Source organism: Homo sapiens, chromosome 20, assembly GCF_000001405.40.
Source record: "Homo sapiens chromosome 20, GRCh38.p14 Primary Assembly".
Classification (NCBI taxonomy): Eukaryota; Metazoa; Chordata; class Mammalia; order Primates; family Hominidae; genus Homo; species Homo sapiens.
Genome location: NC_000020.11, coordinates 43,764,705 through 43,786,121, shown reverse-complemented (window position 1 = coordinate 43,786,121; position 21,417 = coordinate 43,764,705). Strand labels below are relative to the sequence as shown.

At 45.9% G+C, this 21,417-nt stretch overlaps 1 long non-coding RNA gene across 1 annotated transcript in view, besides 2 other annotated features; it reads right to left on the bottom strand.

Annotated features, from left to right (window-relative positions):
* Window positions 1-21,417, bottom strand: part of LOC101927200 (uncharacterized) — a 91,977-nt gene that overhangs the window by 34,774 nt on the left and 35,786 nt on the right. The window lies entirely within an intron of this gene.
* Window positions 18,911-19,411: an enhancer, noted in NCBI's record as "H3K4me1 hESC enhancer chr20:42395351-42395851 (GRCh37/hg19 assembly coordinates)". NCBI's record gives its function as "activates a minimal SCP1, AML or CMV promoter by ChIP-STARR-seq in primed H9 embryonic stem cells {active_cell/tissue: H9 hESC(primed)}" and the evidence as "EXISTENCE:reporter gene assay evidence [ECO:0000049][PMID:30033119]".
* Window positions 19,412-19,912: an enhancer, noted in NCBI's record as "H3K4me1 hESC enhancer chr20:42394850-42395350 (GRCh37/hg19 assembly coordinates)". NCBI's record gives its function as "activates a minimal SCP1, AML or CMV promoter by ChIP-STARR-seq in primed H9 embryonic stem cells {active_cell/tissue: H9 hESC(primed)}" and the evidence as "EXISTENCE:reporter gene assay evidence [ECO:0000049][PMID:30033119]".

Genomic DNA, 21,417 nt, shown 5'->3' with positions numbered 1-21,417 from the left:
AACCTGGGAGGAGGAGGTTGCAGTGAGCCGAGATCGCGCCATTGCACTCCACCCTGGGAGACAAGTGAAACTCCATCTCAAAAAAAAAAAAAAGATATATGCAGAAGTATTTGAAGTAGTGACAAAACTTTGTGGAGAATATAAAAAAAGATCTGCACAGTTAGAGAACATACCATATTCAAGGAAAAGAAAACAATATTTCAAATGGATTATTTCTGCTTAAAGTCATATGAAAGTTTAATGGAATTGCAATTCAAACCTGGCTAGGGCCGGACGCAGTGGCTCATGCCTGTAATCCCAGCACTTTGGGAGGCTGAGGCGGGTGGATCACCTGAAGTCAGGAGTTCGAGACCAGCCTGGCCAACATAGTGAAACCCCCATCTCTATTAAAAATACAAAAATTAGGTGGCGGGCACCTGTAATCCCAGCTACTTGGGAGGATGAGGCAGGAGAATCACTTGAACCTGGGGACGGAGGTTGCAGTGAGTTGAGAGCTGGACATTGCACTCCAGCCTGGGTGACAAGAGCGAGACTCCAACTAAAAAAAAAAAAAAAAAAAAAAAAAAAAAAGGCCAGGCGCAGTGGTTCACACCTGTAATCCCAGCACTTTGGGAAGCCAAGGTGGGCAGATCTCTGAGGTCAGGAGTTCGAGATCAACCTGACCAACATGGAGAAACCCCATCTCTACTAAAAATACAAAATCAGCCGGGTGTGGTGGTGCATGCCTGTAATCCCAGCTACTCAGGAGGCTGAAGCGGGAGAATCACTTGAACTTGGGAGGCGGAGGTTGCAGTGAGCCGAGATCACACCATTGCACTCCAGCCTGTGCAACAAGAGCAAAATTCCATCTTGAAAAAAAAAGCAAAAAACGCCCTGGCTACAAAGTTTCTACAAGTTAAAAATATTAGTCTAAAGTTTGAATGGAAAATAAAAGAGGTTAAATAATAAAGAAAATTTTCAAAAATATAAATAATGGATTTCATCTACCAGATATAAAATGGGTTGTAAAATTATAATAATTAAAGCAGTGTCAAAGAATAGACATAGCTATGAAAGAATAAGCCTGAAAACCATCCCGAGTCTACACAGGAATTTAGTATTGATTAAAGTGGCACTTAAATTAATGGAGAATTTCAGCCAGGCACGGTGGCTTATGCCTGTAATCCCAGCACTTTGGGAGACCGAGGAAAGCAGATCACTTGAGGTCAGGAGTTCAAGACCAGCCTGGCCAAAATGGTGAAACCCTGTCTCTACTAAAAATACAAAAATTAGCCGAGTATGGTAGCACGCACCTGTAGTCCAGCTACTCTGGAAGCTGAGGCAGGAGAATCGCTTGAACTCGGGAGGCAGAGGTGGCAGTGAGCCAAGATCGTGCCACTGCACTCCAGCATGGGCAACAAAGGGAGACTCCATCTAAAATAATTAATTAATTAGGCCGGGTGTAGTGGCTCACGCCTGTAATCCCAGCACTTTGGGAGGCCGAGGCGGCCAGATCACAAGGTCAGGAGATCGAGACCATCCTGGCTAACACGGTGAAACCCTGTCTCTAGTAAAAATACAAAAAATTAGCTGGGTGCCGTGGGGGCGCCTGTAGTCCCAGCTACTCAGGAGGCTGAGGCAGGAGAATGGTGTGAACCTGGGAGGCGGAGCTTGCAGTGAGCCAAGATTGCGCCACTGCAGTCCTGCCTGGGCGAAAGAGCAAGGCTCAATCTCAAAAAAAATAATAATAATAATAATTAATTAATTACTGGGGAATTTTCTGGGGTGCTCAATAAATAATGCAGGAACAATTCGTTAACAATTTGGGGCAGGAAAAAGTTCAGCGTTTCATACCATATATCAAAATAAATTTCAACCGGGCGTGGTGACTCACGCCTCTAATCCCAGCACTTTGGGAGGCCAAGGCGGGCAGATCACTTGAGGCCAGGAGTCTGAGACCAGCCTGGCCAACCTGGCAAAACCCCATCTCTACAAAAAGTACAAAAAATTAGCTGGGCATAGTGGCGCACACATGTAGTCTCAGCTAAGTGGGAGGCTGAGGCAGGAGAATCGCTTGAACCCAGGAGGCAGAGGTTGCAGTGAGCTGAGATCATGCCACTGCACTCCAGCCTGGGTGACAGAGCAAGACTCTGTCTCAAAAATAATAATAATAAAATAAAATAAAATAAATTTCAAATCAATCAAAGAGCTATTATTTTAATGAAGCCATGAAAAACTAGGATAAAATATAGATTAATATTTTTTCTGATATCAAGAGAAGTATGACTTTTCAAGCAAGAGGAGAAAAAGACAAAAGGAAAGACTCAAAAAAGAAAAACTGATATATTGACTATAGTCATCTGCCTACCTTCTGTGTATCAGGAAGCACCACAAACAAAATTAAAATTCAAAAAATACTATTTGTCATATAATGAAGAACATAAGATCTAAAATTTCTTCTCCATCAATATGAAGAGGACAACACCCTACTCCCGTTTTTTAAATGGACAAAAGACACGACCTTGCAATCCACAGGAGTTAAAATAGGAATGACCAAAAGGCATTATGAAGTTAATCATGGCTGCTCTGCCTACAGAGTAGCCATTTTCTTTTCTTTTTTTTTTTTTTTTTTTAAACGGAGTCTCGCTCTGTCACCAGGCTGGAGTGCAATGGCAAGATCTTGGCTCACTGCAACCTCCACCTCCTGGGCTCAAGCGATTCTCCTGCCTCAGCCTCCCGAGTAGCTGGGACTACAAGCGTGCGCCACCATGCCCAGCTAATTTTTGTATTTTTAGTGGAGACGGGGTTTCATCATGTTGGCCAGGATGGTCTTGATCTCTTGACCTCATGATCTGCCCACCTCAGCCTCCCAAAGTGCTGGGATTACAGATGTGAACCACTGCACCCTGCCTCCTTTACTTTCTTAATAAACTTGCTTTCGTTTTCCTCTGTGGACTCACCCTGAATTCTTTCTTGCACCAGATCCAGGAACCCTCCTTTGGAGTCTAGATCAGAATCCCTTTCCAGTAACCTCTTCCTAGCAAACCTCAAAGGGACAATACTGGAGAGAACCCTGACCCAAAGGAAATAGACTGCAGCACCAATTGGTCGACTTTGGATATCACCTTTTGTTGAAATTTTGGAGTTATGAATGGCCCTCAGCATACCAATGCTGTCTGACTGAGCGCCTCTCTACCCTGGAGACGAGAGACCCTAATAGTTAAGCAGGAATATCGTGGCCCCTATTCAGCCTAAAGAAGCTGCAGAAGATGTACCTTCGTCCCTCTGCAACCCTTAGGATTAAGAATCCCCTTGCAATGGCTGAGCGCAGTGGCTCACACCTGTAATCCCAGCACTTTGGGAGGCCAAGGCAGGTGGGACACCTGAGGTGGGGAGTTCAAGACCAGCCTGACCAACATAGAGAAACCCCGTCTCTACTAAAAATACAAAATCAGCTGGGCGTGGTGGCGCATGCCTGTAATCCCAGCTACTCGGGAGGCTGAGGCAGGAGAATCACTTGAACCTGGGAGGTGGAGGTTGCAGTGAGGTGAGATCGGGCCATTGCGCTCCAGCCGGGGCAACAAGAGTGAAACTCTGTCTCAAAAAAAAAAAAAAAAAAAAAAAATCGCCTTGTAAAATGGAGGGGGTTCCAACCAGAGCGACTCCATCTTGAATAGGAGCTGGGTAAAATGAGGCTGAGACCTGCTGGGCCGCATTCCCAGGAGGTTAGACATTCTTAGTCACAGGATGAGATAGGAGGTTGGCACAAGATACAGGCCACAAAGAGCGGCTGATAAACAGGATGTGGTAAAGAACTAGCTGAAACCCACCAAAAGCAAGAGGGGGATGAAAGTGGCCTCTGGTCATCCTCACTGCTCATTATATGCAAATTATAATATATTAGCATGCTAAAAGACACTCCCACCAACACCATGACAGTTTACAAATGCCATGGCAACATCCAAAAGTTACCCTATATGGTCTAAAAAGAGGAGTAATCCTCGGTTCCAGGAATTGCCTGCCCCTTTCCCGGAAAACTCATGAATAATTCACCTCTTATTTAGCATATGATCAAGAAATAACCATAAAAATAACCAACCAGCAGCCCTCGAGGCTACCCTGCCTATGGAGTAGCCATTCCTTTATTCTTTTACTTTCTTAATAAACTTGATTTCGCTTTAAAAAAAAAAAAAAAGAAGAAGAAGTAGTTAATTGCTACCAGGTACAGTGGCTCATGCCTGTAATCCCAGCAGTATGGGAGGCAGAAACAGGAGGATCCCTTGAGGCCAGGGGTTTGAGACCAGCCTGGCCAATATGGCAGAACCCCATTTTTTACAGAAAAAAAAAAATAGCTGGGTGTGGTGGTGCACGCTTGTAGTCCCAGCTACTCGGGAGACAGGATGCAGGGACCTGGGTTGCAGTGACCACAGTACTTCAACTTGGGTGACAGAGCAAAGTTAATACCATTGGAAATCTACATTACACAGATTAAAATATTGAGATACCATCATTCACCTATCAAATTGGCATTTAAATTAATCTCCAGCATTTGAGAAGGGGCCCCGTGAGGAAAGACCATCCAGAGAGGCCTTTGGGTAGCAACACTTAAGAGCATGGGCTTTGCAATAAGCCTGACTCAGTTAAAAAAAAACCAGCCCCACCACCTGTTAGCTTTGTGGCCCACAGAATGTTATTTCACATCTTTGAGCCTCAGTTCAGATGCCTCTGAAAGTGGCAGTAACTGCAAGGGTAACCAAGATGCTGCATGTAACCACTTAGCAGAACACCTCGTGTAAGTCAGGGCTCAGTAGACTCAGCAACTGTCACTCTTGCCAACGAACATGTGTGCATGGAATGGTGTATTAGTCTGTTTTCACACTGTATAAAGAAATACCCAAAACTGGGTAATTTATAAAGGTAAGAGGTTTAACTGACTCACAGTTTCCCATGGCTGGGGAGGCCTCAGGAAACTTACAATCATGGCAGAAGGGGAAGCAAGCACCTTCTTCACATGGCGGCAGGAGAGAGAATGCTTCAAAGGGGGAACTTCCAAGCACTTTTAAAACCATCAGCTCTCGCGAGAACTCCCTCCTATCACTGGAACAGCATGGGGGAAGCCATCCCTGTGATCCAATCACTTCCTACAGGTCCCTCCCTCAACATGTGGGGATCATGGGGATTACAATTCGAGATGAGATTTGGGTGGTGACACAGAGCCAAACCATATCACATGGTGATACTTTGAAAGTCCTTTTAACACATGTTCTCAAGTGGATGTCCCTGCAGGCCAGGGTCCTATCAGAAAGGGCTGAAGGAGGTCATGTGGTTAAAGTTCTTAGCTGTGCCTGACATCCAGTAAGTGTGCAATACCTTCTAGCAATTACAGGCAAATTGGAACAGGTAATGGAGGCTCAGAGAGATGATGGGATGAGGCCAAAGTTGCATTGGTAAATGGTGAAGCATGGCTTTGATCCACATTTGCCTAGTTCTAAATCTCTTTCCCCCATAACGTGTTTAGGATCCTGGCAAGGTCTTAGGTTCTTCTGAGAAGTGGATCCAGCTCCCAGTCTTGAAATGAAGTCAGCAATACAACCAGTGCTGGATCATGTGCAAAGGCTGGGGAGTTAACCTTCCTGGGTTCAAATCCTGGCTCTACCACTTTCCAGCTGTGTGTCCTTGGCAAGCTACCCAACCTCACTGAGTCTCAGTTTCCCCATCTGTAATACGAGGATGATATTAATATTACCTAACAGAGCTCTTGTAAGGATTAACTGAGATGATCAATGTAAAAGGCTAAGCACAATGCTTCAAAACATTAAATAAATGTCGTTGTTGTTTTATCACCACATTAATTTAGGCACCAGTGTCACTTTGCCATGCCCCCTTCCTTCAATATGTTGGTGCAAGTTCCTTAAGCCTAACTGCTCGGGCAAGCCTTCTGCATTGCACAGCTCCAAGGGCACTGTTCATATCTATTCCATTTGAATGGTGTCCTATGGACTTGTGCAGTGCACAACCTATACTCCTGTACATAGCATACTCAGAGCAAACTATGGGGCTACATAGAGGATCTGGATGTCAGAGTCTCTAGTGGGAAAGCATGAGCACCATGAGGTCAACAGAAGTGTCCCGGTTCTGGTGTCCTCCATCTTAAAGCTAGAGTCCAAGCTACTCCCAAAAGTCTGGGGGATATGCCTCACTGCCAGAAGGAGGAGACAGTGAGAAATGGTAGGTGCCCTCAATACAGGAATGCAGCTTGGGAAGCTGGACTGCTGGGTAGAGAAACAGGACTTGGGCAAGCAGTGGTCTCTGGTGTAATTCAGGATCTCCGAGTAGATGCAACTCAGAGTCAAGGGAGAGGATCTATGTATTCTGGTCATGGAAGACAACACATCAGATACTAGTTGCTGCTTCAGAGCATATACTACTATGTCCTGCACAAGAGTAGCCCAGCATTAAAGGTGGCAGAGCTGAGTCTTCAGTGGGCCACTTCATCCTTCTACTAAGCTAGCCACTTCATGTCTGCATGGTAAAAATAGCAAATTCCGTGAGCACAAGCCCATTTCCTCACTGCACTTGCTGTGGCCCAAGGGAACACTGTGGCTATGAAGACACATTTCACAAGTTCATGGATGGTGATGCTGCCAGGCCATAATGGAAATGAAAATCCAGGACATGTGTCTATTCTGGTAAGAACAAATTGTTTCCCCTCCATAGCAAATGGGGACCTATTAATCAACCAGCCACCAGATCCCCTCAGTGTGCTATGGCACCTCATTGAGGACTTGGTGAAGACATCTGCTGCTGGAACATCCAGCACTGAGCAGAGGGGACAGCCCAGGAAGTCTTAGTGTCGGATACATGCATACTGCTGTGGCAACATGGTGGTAAGTCTCTTGAACAATGGGCTGACCAGGGAATGAGGAGGATGGACACCCATGGGGCAAGTTATGTTGTCTACCAAGTACCTACATGGTAGACACTTAATTAACATTTACTGAATGAATATATTAACCTGATCATTGAGAGGCATAGGGGCAGGACCTGGACTAGAGTGAAATGAGTCAAGCACTTGCCTTGAGCAAAAAATTTAAAGGAAGGTGCTCAAAATCTCAGTCATCAAGATAAACAATATTTTGCCAAAATAATTTTTAAAATAAAAATTAATGCCAAGATGACTAAAATCTCAAAATAGTACATTGAAGCAGGATGTGATGGGGCCAAGACAAGAGTGAGATGAGTGTGGCCAAGTTACACAAGCGCAGGGTTGGATCCCACCTTAAAGTTTGGATATTTTGTTTACAACGAATTTTTTGCATTGTTTTTTAAAGCATTGCTTAAAATAGTAATATTAAGGAAAATCTTGTAAAATAGTAAAATCTTGGTGGCTAAAGCTTATTGGCTAACCCCTTTAATTTCGTGCCCCAGGCAAGCGTCTCACTTGCCTTATCCTGGTCACTGCCTAGCACCATCTGCTAGGATTCTTAAGATTTTCCAGACTACAAACAGCATGCTGATCTGCCACCAGGCCTGCCAAGTGGTGGGGTCACTTGTACAGCTGTTGGACCAGCTATAGGACCTCTTTTTGCCTGCAGCTCCACTCAAAGCTGATAACCTTTTAGACAGGGTGGGCACTGGTTGAAATAAGGCCACCCAGATGTGAAGAGATGCATTAGGTATTAGTACCTTCTGCCTCACAAGGGAAATCCCAAGAGGTCCCACACTTATAGACCCCAGGAGCTTCCCCAAAGTGACTGACCTGTGAGGGGTTTTTGTTTCTTTGTTTGTTTGGTTGGTTGTTTTTTAAGAGTTTTTTTTTTTAGAACACGTTTTAAGTTTACAGAACAAGTGAACAGAAAGTACAGAGAACTTCCATATATTCCCTCTCCTTCTCCCATGAACCCTGCAAACAGTTGACCTATTATTAATATATTGCATTAGTGTAGTACATTTGTTGTACTTGATGAATGAATACTAATATATTATTAATAACTAAAGCCTACAGTTTAGAGTTCACTCTCTGTGTGGCACATTCTATGTGCTTTGGCAAATGTCATGTACCTGCCATTACAGCATCATACAAAATAGTTTCACTGCCCTAAAAATGCCCCTGCTCCACCTATTCATCCCTCCTTGCCTCCTTCCAAACCCCTGGCAACCACTGATCTTTTTACTCCCCCCATAGTTTTGCCTTTTCCAGAATGTCATATCATTGGAATCACAGACTATGTAGCCTTTTCAGAATGGTTTCTTTCACTTAGCAATATGCCTTTAAGATTCTTCCATGTCATTTTGTGGCTTGATAGCTTAAAAAAAAAAAATCACTGAGTGATGCTCCATCATGGGGATATACCACAGGCTGTTTATCCATTCACCTACTGAAGGACATCTTGGTTGCTTTCCAGTTTTGGCAATTATGAATAAAGCTGCGGTAAACATCCACGCATAGGATTTTGTCTGGACCTAACTTTTCAACTCATTTGAGCAAATATTAAGGAGCGTGATTGGCCATGAGTTTTTGGTGACCAGGACCTCCTGGACATGGGCCCTTTATTAACTTCCAGCATCCACAGGCATGACTTCTTCAAGGGAGTTGACCGGTAAGATATTTTATGAAATGGAGAGACCATCAGAGTCTCTCACACCCAGACACTGGATTGTCCTTGAAGCAGGAAGGCAAAGGTGTACCGCTGCCCCTATCAGGAGAAGGCAAATGATTTCTAGAGGTCCAGTTTAACGGAAACAGAGAAAGCAAACTTTCCCCACCCCCGGTAATGCCCCCACCCTAGAAAGAAATTGTGTCAGAGAACAAAGAAGGGAGAAAAGGGTTGTATTTTCCAATTTAGCACAAATCTCTTCTCCCCAGATGTAGCAGGGTCCAACTCTTGCCTTTGTGTTTGTTCTCTAAATGAGAAAGAGCTTTTACCTGCAATGATTACTTGCCACAAGGAGATCATAATTAACAGAGAAAACACATATTTCCAAGGAGTCAGAAAACTGTTTTCTAACAACAAATGAAAATATAATTAACGTTCCACAGTTCTTTTCTCTGGAGAGATTTTTTTTCTTACTTTCTACAGATTTAAAGGAAAAAAATATACTAGGAGTATGTTATGGGTTGTTCCCAAAAAAGATAGGTTGAAGTCCTAACCCCAGTAACTGAGAATGTAACCTTATTTGGGAATAGGGCCATTGCAGATATAATTAGTCAAGATGAGGTCATACCAGAGTAAGGTAGGCTCTTAATCCAATATGACCAGTGTCCTTATAAGAAGAGAAGAGACACAGACACCCAAGAGGAGGATGCCATGTGACCACAGAGGCAGAGACTAGAGTGACACAGCTGCAAGCCAAGGAATGGCAAGGATTGCTGGCCAATGCCAAAAGCCAGGAAGAGGCAAGGAAAGGTCCTTCCCAGAGTCTCAGAGGAGCATGGTCCTGCGGACTTCAGACTTCGAGTCTTCAGAACTGTGACAGAATACGAAGCTGTTGTTTTTTCTTTATTTTTATTTTTTATTTATTTATTTTTGAGATGGAGTCTCGCTCTGTCGCCCAGGCTGGAGTGCAGTGGTGCAATCTCAGCTCACTGCAAGCTCTGCCTCCCGGGTTCACGCCATTCTCCTGCCTCAGCCTCCCAAGTAGCTGGGACTACAGGCACCCGCCACCACGCCTGGCTAATTTTTTGTATTTTGTTTAGTAGAGACGTGGTTTCACCGTGTTAGCCAGGATGGTCTCGATCTCCTGACCTCGTGATCCACCCGCCTCAGCCTCCCAAAGTGCTGGGATTACAGGCGTGAGCCACCGCGCCTGGCCGAGGCTGTTGTTTTAAGCCACCCCGCTTGTGGCACTTTGTTACCGCAGCCCTAGCAAATTAATACAGAGCAGAATCACCTGATGCTTCACTTTGCAGATGAATGCCTGAGGCCCTGGCAGGTGCATTGATTTACCTGAGATCCCAAGCAAGTGGGAAGCAGAGATGAGACTCGAATCAAGGTCCACTTGACCTGAAGACTAGTGTTCATTTCACAACATGACTCACTCTCCTGTGTGTGGCACCCTTGCCTGGGGCAGCCAGGTTCCAATCTGGACATGCACTACATTGGGTTCAGCACCTGGGTAACAGGTGAACACAGGCCTGGTGTACTCGAATGTAGAAGGCTTTAGAAACCAAGGTAGAAAAAAATGTATGTGATGAGTGAGGAAGGAAGGATAAAAGAAGAAAAGTGATTAATATTGACTGAGCTCCGTGCCAGGTGTTTTATACATATTGTCTCATTTACCTCCCACAATAACCCTTGGGTATAGGTATAATTATTCTCATTTTTCAGATTAAAAACTGATTATCAGAGAAGCTAAATAACTTGCCTAAAACCATATGGCTAGCTGGTGGGGAGATTCAGACCCAAGTCTATAGGACTCCAAACTCCAAACTCCATGTACTGTTTCTGAGTAGTTTCATCTCTTCCCGTGGTGTTTTTTGTTTGTTTGTTTGCTTGTTTGCTTGCTTGGAGACAGGGTCTGGCTCTGTCACCCAGGCTGGAGTGCAGTGGCACAATCACAACTCACTGCAGCCTCAATGTCCTGGGCTCAAGCCATCCTCCCACCTCAGCTTCCCAAGTAGCTGTGACCACAGGCGTGCACCACCAACCAGCTAATTTTTGTATTTTTAGTAGAGACGGGGTTTTGCCATGTTGCCCAGGCTGATCTCAAACTCCTGGCCTCAAGTGATCTACCTGCCTTGGCCTCCCAAAGTGCTGAGATTACAAGCATGAGCCACGGTGCCTGGCCTCTTCCCATGGTTTTATTGGTCATCTTTAGGTTAGTGGCTCCTAAATTTTTATCTGTAGCCCCACGTCTCGTCTCCCTGTTCAATATCTTCATTTTAACATCTCACATGTCCAAATTCAGCATGTCCAAAATTTAATTCATCACCTTCCACCAAAAAACTGGCTATCCAACCACCAAGATGCCCAAACTAGAAACCTTGGAAGCATCCTCGACTCCTCTGCTGCCTCACGCCCACTCCCTTCCCCCAGCCCTAGCACACAAACCCGACAATTCACCAAGTCTATTCATCCATCCTCTTTCCACATCCACTGCTTCTGCCCTGGTCTGAGCTGCCATCATCCTACTCCTGGGGAGCTGTAATCTTCTGACTGGTCTCTCTGCCTTCACTCTACTTTCCCTTCCACAGTCTAGTGTCTCTTCTGCAGTCTAGTTTCCCTTGTGCAGTAGTGAGAGTGATTTCTTGAAGCACCACAAATCTTATCACATTATTGGCCTGATGAAAACCCTTCAGCGGTTTGGGAAGCCGAGGTGGGCGGATCACGAGGTCAGGAGATCGAGACCACGGGGAAACCCCGTCTCTACTAAAAATACAAAAAAATTGGCCGGGCGCGGTGGCGGACGCCTGTAGTCCCAGCTACTCAGGAGGCTGAGGCAGGAGAATGGCATGAACCCAGGAGTCGGAGCTTGCAGTGAGCCAAGATCGTACCACTGCACTCCAGGATGGGTGACAGAGCGAGACTCTGTCAAAAAAAAAAAAAAAAACCCTTCAGCTGTCATTGTAAATTCTCATGTGCTATTCACTGTTATAAGCCCTTTACATATAGCAACTCATTTAATCCTAAAAACCACCCTATGACATAGGCACTAGTTTGTTCTTCTGTTACCGATGAGAAGATCAAGATGCTGAAAGGTTCAGCCACCCATCCAGGGTCTCACAGCTAGTGAGTGGCAGAGTTCACGCTCTTATGAGTTACACTAAGCATTCTTCTCAAGGATGCCATCTGCTCTGAAGATAAAAGTCCAAAATCCTTATAATGCATGCAAGGGCCTGCAGGGTTGCACCCCTGCCTCCATCTCTCTATCCCATCTCCTCTCTCTCTTTCATTCTTCTCAAGTCCACAGCAAGGACTGAGAGTTTTTTCTTGTTTTTTTTTTTTGAGACTGAGTCTCACTCTGTTGCCAGGCTGGAGTGCAATAGCATGATCTTGGCTCACTGCAACCTCTGCCTCCTGGGTTCAAGTGCTCCTTCTGCCTCAGCCTCCAGAGTAGCTGGGACTACAGGCGCGCACCACCACACCCAGGTAATTTTTGTATTTTTGGTAGAGACGGGGTTTTACCATGTTGGCCAGGCTGGTCTCAAACTCCTGACCTCAAGTGATCCTCCCGCCTTAGCCTCCCAAAGTGCTGGGATTATAGGTGTGGACAAATGGGCCCGGCCAGGACTGGAATTTTTTAAAACATCCTCAGAGTCTCAGAGCTTCTTCCTGCCTCAGGACCTTTGCATGGGCTCTTCCCTCTGCCTAGAACATGGCTGTCGCCCATTTTTCAATGTTGCTTCCTCAGAAAAGCTTTCCGTAAGCCCCAGACCAGGTCAGCTTCCCTGTGTTATGCTGTTATTGTCACCTGTACTTTTTCTTTGTAATACTTATGACAATTGTAATAAACTATGTGTATTATTTTATGGCCAATGTCTGCTTTCCCCCACAGACAGCAAGCTCCAGGAATGCAGGAAGCTTTGTTTCCCTAGGACATTGCCTGGAAAACTGATGTTCAATACAGTGATGGGTTGAAAGAACAAACAAAATAAAGAACAGAGAATAAACGAATGAAGATATTGTGCTACTCTTCAGCTGTCTGTCCAGCCAAGAGGCACATTTCCTGGTGTAATACCTTTTTTCTAAGGAGAACATCTCACACTTTAAGTGTATACACAAATCACTTGGGAATCTTGTTAAAATTTCGGATTGGATTCAGTAGCCTCAGGTGGGACCTGAGAGCCTGCATTTTGGACAAGCTCCAGGTGATGATGGTGATGCTGGTCCTGGAGCCTTACTCAAAGCAGCAAGTATTTAAACCATCTCTCACCTCGGTCTCTCTTTCATGAATGTGTCTTTCAAGTTTCTTCCCCTACCTGCTGATGGCACCCAGTTATTAAAAGAGGGCTTTCTGTGAACTTTTGCAGTGAGTGAAGAGTGCCTCCTCCTTGCTGCTGAATTCCTCCCACAGTCCCCCAGGGCAGGGAAGGAAACAGTCCCTCCTCTCCCTTTATCCTGTCTTATTGAGGTTCTCCTTGTAGTAGCTGTTGCTTCCCAACCCATACACCCTGTCTTGTTCCACTTTCTGTTGCTATAACTTAATATCTGGGACTGGGTAATTTATTAAGAAAAAACATGTATTTCTTACAGTTCTGAAGGCTGGGAAATCCAAGGCTGAGGGGCTGCATCTGGTGGGGCCCTTCTTGCTGTGTCATAATGTGGTGAAAGCATCACATGATGAGAGCCAGGGAGTGTGCCAGCTCAGGTTTCCTCTTCCCGTAAAGCCACCAGTTCCATTATGGGTGCCCCAGCCTGATGACCTTATCTCATCTTAATTATCTCTCAAAGGCCCCACCTCCAATCAACATATGGATTTGGGAATTTGGTTTCCGCAACATGAAATTTAGGGGGCACATTCAAACCATAACACCCCTTTTATCAGACTAGTACCCCAGCCCCTGGGTCTTGTGAGTCCTGAAGGCTCACCCTGTTCCCTTTCCCAGAGACTTGACTTTGGCAGATCTGCCCCCTCTTGGAAGCTACTCTCTTCTCACTCCCATCCCCACCAGTGGCAACCAGTAGCTAGTGACTGACGTGGAAGTACAAATGCCAGTCCCCTGGCCTCAAGTAGGGGCCAATCTGTGGTACAATTCACACTCCAGAGCTTCCTGTGGATCAGGTTAAAGCTGATCTCCAGCTTCAGGTCCTTCCCCTACCATGTCCAGCTCCCTTCACTCCCCATCTGCAATAATTTACTCTCTGCAAAAATTCTGCAAGAATCTCCATCTAGGAAAGCTGACTTAAGACATCCTCTCCATCAGATCCTCTTTCTCCTCCCTAAGGAGTTCTCTACTCTCTTCTTTCTTCCCAGCCATAATGGCAGATGCAGAATGCCAGAAACTAGAAACCAGTGTGCAAATAATGGAACATACCTTGGGAAGTACAACTAAAATATCACAAAGAAGAAACTCTAGCACCTTGAGCACCATGCTGCCATCCACACTCTCAGCTGCAACCCTAGCATGGCCCTGGGGTTCTGTCTCTTACAGGGAGGCCACCCACCAAGCCAGGGAGGAATTGTAGCATGGTTTCCTCGCACGCTGAATCTAAGTTACCAGCAGATGCTTTGTCCGTGAGCCTCACCTGGCCTGGCCCTGGCCTTCCCAAAGCAAAGCCCTTCCCTTGTTACCATGGTGGCCATGTGCAGGAATGGAAATACAATGGGAACAGACAGGAATCTGGAGAAAAGAGAGACATCATCTTCCACGCATTCCTGGCACCTCTTTCTTTGGCCCATTAGGAAACCCACACCCTCTTCCCCCAGCCTATCAGCTGCCCACATTCTGGGACCCAGGATCTTCAGAAGTGCTTTTGATCCCTGCTATGTGTATGCATATGTGTATGCGTATGTGTATGTGTATGCGTGTGTGTATGCGTATGCGTATGTGTATGTGTAGACATATGGCTGGAGGCAGTGAGGGAAGCGAATGTGCCCACAGGCCCAGGGGCAGTGGAGGAAAGGGGGAAGAATGGTGAAAGGAGAGGGTTAAGGAGCTGGCAGCCACACAAACACCTTCCACATTGCACTCCTTGCCATTTCTTTTCTGTGAATTTAAATGCATTCTGTCACACTGAGTTATGTCACCCAGAGGAAATGCCCAACTCGGCGACGTTTTTAAAGATTATTTTTTAGATCACCTATCACTATCCATTTGAGGAACGATTGTTCAATCTGAAAAAAATAAATTCAAAACTGTCCCCATCTAAGCAAGATGGAAAAATAACTTTCCCTATTCTTTTATTTTCTTTCTTTTTATTTTTTTAAGAAGGTTTATTTCTGAAGGACAGGTTTGAAAATCAGTTTTCACCTTGGCATCTGGCTGGATTTAAGCACCTCTGTAAACCTTGTCATACGAGTAAACAAATGAATGGACAGCCAGCTGTGTGACCTCAGGCCATTCATTTCACCTCTCTGAGCCTTAATCTCCTCAATTGTTACACTGAGATAACAATACCGACCATGACCATCAAATGAGATGATGTCCAGGACAGTCCTTGAGTGTGTAAGGTGTCTGTTCCACTAAAGTGTCAATTCCTCAAGGGCAGGGAGCAGGCTCCGGCCAATTCTGCCCTCCCAGTGGAGCTTGTATAGGGCCTGGCTCACAAGAAGTGCTTAATACATGTCAGATGAATGAATGGTTCAACGGATGATGGTTTGGTGGTTGGATGTCTGGACATCCAGAGAAAGGGATGCATGATACAGGGATGGATGGATGAAACAGTAGGCTGAAAAATAGTTTTCAAAATAGCAAACAAATAATCCCAAAAAAAGCCTTTATTTGTAGTGTTCTCCAATTTCCATGGCGTAAACGTTCCCACCATGGCTGATGTCAAGCCACCAAGTGACATCATTAAATGCAGAGTCAGAAACAGACAGGCACAATCAGCTCTTAAGAGACTGTAGAAGCCACCTCCCACACCCAACAGATGGGTGGGTGGGTGGATGGATGGATGGAAGGAAAGAAGGAAGGAAGGAAGGAAAAAAGGAAGGAAGGAAGGAAGAAGGAAGGAAATGAGGGAGGGAGGGAGTCAGGAAGGGAGGAAGGGAGGGACGGAGGGAGGGAGAGATAAGACAGGAAAGGTGGGGAAGAGGAAAGAGGAAGAGAATAGAGCCAGAATAGATGTTTACCATAGAAAAGAAAAGAAAAATAATCAGGGACCAAAGGGAGTGCCAGGAAGAGAAAAACTCAAAGTGGTAGGAAACCTCGGTTCCCCAGCCCTCATCATGGACCACGTCTGAGTCCACCCATCTCCTGGAGTAAATTATTTCTTCTTAAGAACTGATTGGAGAGGGAGCTACTTAGTCCAGCACAATGCTCCTCAATTATTTTTAAGAATTAGAGGCCAGGTGTGGTGGCTCATGCCTGTAATACCAGCATTTAGTGAGGCTGAGGCGAAGGATTGCTTGAGCTCAGAAGTTCAAGACTAGCCTAGGCAATATAGCAAGACCCTGTCTCTACAAAAAAAGAAAAATTAATTAGCTGAGCTTGGTGGTGTGCACTTGTGGTCCTAGCTACTTGGGAGACTGAGGTGGGAGGATCGCTTGAGCCCAGGAGGTTGAGGCTGCAGTGAGCTGTGATTGTGTCACTGCACTCCAGCCTGAGTGACATAGTGAGATCCTGTCTCAAAAAAAAAAAAAAAAATAGGAACATTTTTTCAAATGAAATCTTACTTGGAAGCTCAATAATAATTATAGCTGGTATTTACTGAGCATTTACTATGTACCAGGTATAGTCTAAGTGCATTACATGGAGTACCCCATGATCCTCCTGACAGCCAAGTGAGACAGATGATCTTACTATCCCATTTACCAGTGTGGTCAAAGCACTTGTCCAGGTTCACAAAACAAGCAGAAGATCCAGAATTTAAGCCCAGGTGGTGACAGCAGTCCTAACCACTCTGTTCTCCTGCCCTAATAGATCAAAAGGAAAAGAAATGGCTGCCCCGCTGAACTGTCCCTGAAGGACTTAAGCCCAGCAACTCAGAGGCCCCACACAGAGCCAGGTTCTTGGAAAAGAAGCAGGAAGAACAAGTGCCAGTCCTGGTTCTGCCCATAGCTAGCTGTGTGTCCTTCGGAAAACCTCTGGCCCTCTCTGAGCCTTGGTTCTCTCACTTATAAAACAAGTGGTCATCTTTATAAATGAGAGAACCGAGGCTCAGAGAGGCCCAGAGGGGATTGAAGTGAGCCCCTTCAACCTCCTGGGCTCAAGTGATCCTCCTACCTCAGCCTCCTGAGTAGCTGGGACCACAGGTGCACACAGATGGCCAGAGGGGGCCATGGTGAGGGACTGGTGATAGAGCCCCAAGGCTCAGCAGGTTGTCTCTCCCTCCCTCCCTCCCTCCCTCCTCCCTTCCTCCCTCCCTGCCTCCTTCCCTCCCTTTCTATAGCCATTATAGATTATGCATTGGACAGTTCTCCTCACAAGAAGGGTCTGGAGGCCTTCAGAAAAGAATAACTCAAGTAAGCCACGCTGTATATTTTTTATATACCTCTGGGGCACCAGGACCCATTTGATTTATAATAAAATGCATCTACTTTTGAGCTGATATGACATTCTTGGAAAACCCTGATAGTAATCATATCTCTAATTAAATTAAATCTTGTCAGGCTCATTTTCTTCTCAAGGATAGTTATTTTTACAGTCATTTTTGTTAATGCAAAGTAATAGTAACTTAGTTTCTAGCACTGCCTTCATGTACAATTTTACAACTATGCATGCAATTAAATGTGTTTTTATGGGGAAGAAAAACAACAACAAAGAGCAAAACCAAACAAGTTGGTCAGCCTGGCTGAGTATTATTGTCTATGCAACTCCTATCCCTTTGCAAATCTAAAGAAGAAATACAGATTATTCTCCCCAGAGAAATGCAACACTTACTAAACTTTGGATATAACTATGGGAGGGGAGGCATGAGGGGGACACAAGCCCCGGGAGCTAGGATAAAGGACGGTTTTTGCCCGGACAAGAATGTCTCTGAGGTCCCAGGTAATTCTTCAGGTCCACAATTCAATGTCCTTAATCAATGCAGAAAAATAGCCCAAAGCCACGCAGACACCACCTGAGATTTTTAACATGAAGAATGCTCCTGATAAATAAAACTCTTAATGAAATACAAGCAATTAAGCTAAAAGTTCTATCAAATGCAGCCTGTCACTTAGCAGCCTGACACTTAATTGAATTTCTCTTTCCACCCCCTGGCTCCTTTTCCCTGATAAACAAATTCATTCACTGCAGATCAAGTTTCCCTAACCCAGAAACCAACGATAGTCAATCAACTAATTGACACAACAAAGACTTCTATTTTTTTAAGTTCCCCTAATTAAAGTGGAAATGAAATTTTATAATACTCTGGTGCCTGGTATTAATTACTCTGTGGTTAACCCTCTCTCTCCTCCTCAGGGACCTGGCAGCAGGAAGTGGAGGATTGGGAAGTCCCAGACCCAGACACAAGTCCAAGTTCCAGCTCTATCCTGAGTTCGCTGTGTGATCTGGAGAATTTGCTTCCCTTCTCTGTTTTCCATCAATTGTAACACAAGGGATAGAACTAGGTGACTGCCAAGGCTGCTTCTGGCTCTAACTTACATTTTATGATCCAGAGGACAGCATCATGGCATAGTTCTCTCTCTGTGACTCACAGGTTTGCCAGCACAGCTGCCAGAAGCTCTCTCGCAGCAGAGAACCAAAAATACAGCCCATTTACTTCAACAGGCTCCCTCTACCTGACAAATGCAGCAGCCAGGAATGTATCCACTGCTCTTCCCCGGCATCTATACCCACATTCCCAGGTACACCCCTGATACACACACGTTCATACAAACCTCTCTTTGAAGCACACTCCTTCACATGCTCATCTCTCTCACACATGCACACACACAAATACATCAAGACCAGGTGCACACACACAAGACACACCCTCATGCAGGCACACCTGCATACAAACATACGACCCCTTACAGAGCAAGTCCTGTCAATCAAGGCCATTCACACGCACACAGACACACACACTACCTGCTCCTGAAACACACATATTGAGATGCATGCCCCTTTAGACAGATCTCCTCAAATCTGTGCACACACGCATCTCCCTCACCCCTGACAGAGGCACACACGAGTGTAGCCCAGACTCCTTTTTCAGGCAAATCACCTCCAACAAGGCCATGCACACACGTTTACACACTCACATGCCACACACACTCACATGCACCCCTCCTCACCATCACTGTCAAATATGAGCTTGGGCTGCGTTTGAGGAGGTTATCCAATCACAAGAAAGCTTTGGCTGGGGCAGCCCCAAAGATCTCCAAAACCTGACCGACCAGGACCTTTCCAAACTGTCTGCGTTCCAAAGTCTCTCATTCACCCAAGGGTTCCTGAGTGTCACCGCTGTGCCCGGCATTGCATGGGGAGGAGCATGGTGAATGGGACAGACACGGTCCCTCTGGAGGCGGCTCTCTTCCTGGCAGTTCCCAGCCGCCAGGACATGTGTGCCCAGCCCAGACTCCCTAGCAGGTAGTGAGGACCCCATCCCCAGACACTGACACATCCAGGAGTCTCATTTAGAGGCAGCATTTTCATGACATCATGGCCACAGGATGGCCTTTGGGTCAGGTCTTACGAGACAAGAGAGGGTGCACCAGGCAGAGACACAGTATGAACAAAGACAGGGAGGCTGGGATCGGGGTACTGAGAGGCAGCACGATGCAGGGGTGGGGGCAGCCCAGCTCCACTGCCCGCTGCCTGCAGGGCTGGGGCAAATCACTCAACATCTCCAAGCCTCAACTACCTCACCAACAAAATGGGGACAATAGCAGTAGCTGTCAGAGAAGGACCACCTATTGACTCCACAAATAGAGATCGGGCAGCTACTATTTGCCAGGCACTTGGGGTTGCTGTGCAGAGCAAAGAGGGTGATGAATGCCGGCTCCTGGTGCTATGCCCAGCCTGGCAGGAACCCCAGGCACATGATGGGGTGGAATGGGCAGAAGGCCCGGACTGCCAGTGGGAAGACTGGTACCTGGAATGAATGAAGAGCATGGAGGCTGGGAGGGGCAGAGGCTGAGGCTGGAGTCGGGCTGGGAGGAGGGGGCCGTGGTGAGGGACTGGTGATGGAGCCCCCAGGCTCAAGCCGCCTATCACTCTCCACAGTCTCACACTGTCTCAGCCCCAACCTTGCCTTGTCCCAGCTCCATTCCTCAAGGGGCCCCTTCCAGGGCAGGGGTCTGTCTTCCCCTGCAGCTTTGCAAATCCAGGCTGGGAAAGTGGGGGCAGCGGGCACTTTTCTTCCCCCTTGGACCTGGAGCGGATGCTCTCCGCATCTAATGCCTTCTGTTTAGCTCATCTCCCTGTCTCTGTTTTCATGTTTTCCTCTCTCACGCTGGCTGTGTGGAGCACATCTCAGAAAATACTTGCTTTTGAAAGTTGTTGCCATAACAACCACTTCATTACACGCCAGGCCCAGTATCTCAGAAATGCAGAATCTTTCCTTAAAAGCGTGCGCTGCACATCAAAGGGGAATAGGAGCTCATTATTTTTACATTATTTTGCAGGCAAATAGATATTTTCCAATACACATTTCTTTTCTAAGTTGATTTTCTTGTTCAGTGGAAATGCACATTTCTTTCTTAACGCTTTCCTGCCTGCAGGGTGCAGGGCCTCAAAACAGGGCCCGAGTTCCTCAAAACAGGAGAGAGAAAGCATTTCTTTGCTGGGCTATTCATTCCTTGGTCCTCAACGCAGCGGCTTATGACGGGTGGTTTGCTCTAATTCGCAATTTGATTGCACCTAGAAATTCTAGAAAAGGCAGGCATTGTTTATGTAGCATCCACACACTTTCACTCATCTGACTTTGTGCTAACCAAGATTTTGTAATAGTGAAGCTAATTATTTAAGGAGCCAAATCAAAACCAAACCAAACAAACTTCACCATATGGGATAGAGATGTGGTCCAGGATCTTATTTTCTGAACCAGAGGGTGCTGTCCAAATTTCATAGTTCTCTGTGAGTGCCTAGCATGTCTCTCTCCCTCGCCAGCATGTAAACCCCATGATTTTTGTCTGTTTGGATCACGTCTTTATCACCAGCACCTAGAACAGTGCCCGAGCCTGCAGGCACTCAGTAAATATCTGCTGAATGAACCAACGAATATGCTGTGAATACTGTAACTTCTAACAATTCTGCAAAAAATGGGGTAATCAACCCCATTAGACAGATGAAGAGTTTAAAGCTCCAATAAGTTAATTTGATAATAATATTAAGAAAAATAATAAGTGCTAACTTTTTGTTTGTTTGTTTTGAGACGGAGTCTCGCTCTGTCGCCCAGGCTGGAGTGCAGTGGCATGACCTTGGCTTGCTGCAACCTCTGCCTCCCAGGTTCAAGCAATTCTCCTGCCTCAGCCTCCCGAGTAGCTGGGACTACAGGCGCACACCACCACGCCCGGCTAATTTTTTGTATTTTAGTAGAGACGGGATTTCACTGTGTTGCCCAGGCTGGTTGTGAACTCCTGAGCTCAGGCAATCCGCCTGCCTCAGCCTCCCAAAGTGCTAGGATTACAGGTGTGAGCCACCACACCCGGCCTAATTTTAAGCTTTTTATTGAAGCATAATATGCATATAGAGAAGCGCACGTAAGTGTACTGCTCCCCCACTTTTCATAAACACCCCTGGGTAACTAACACTCAGATCAAGAAACAAAATATTGAGAGGGAGGAAGAAGACTGTGATCAGGACTAGCTTCAGGGGTAGCCTCACAGTAATTCCCTAAACTGCAGCAGGTTTATCTTATGTAATCTTTTCAATGTTTTATTTAATTTTTTTGAACCAGGGTCTGGCTCTGT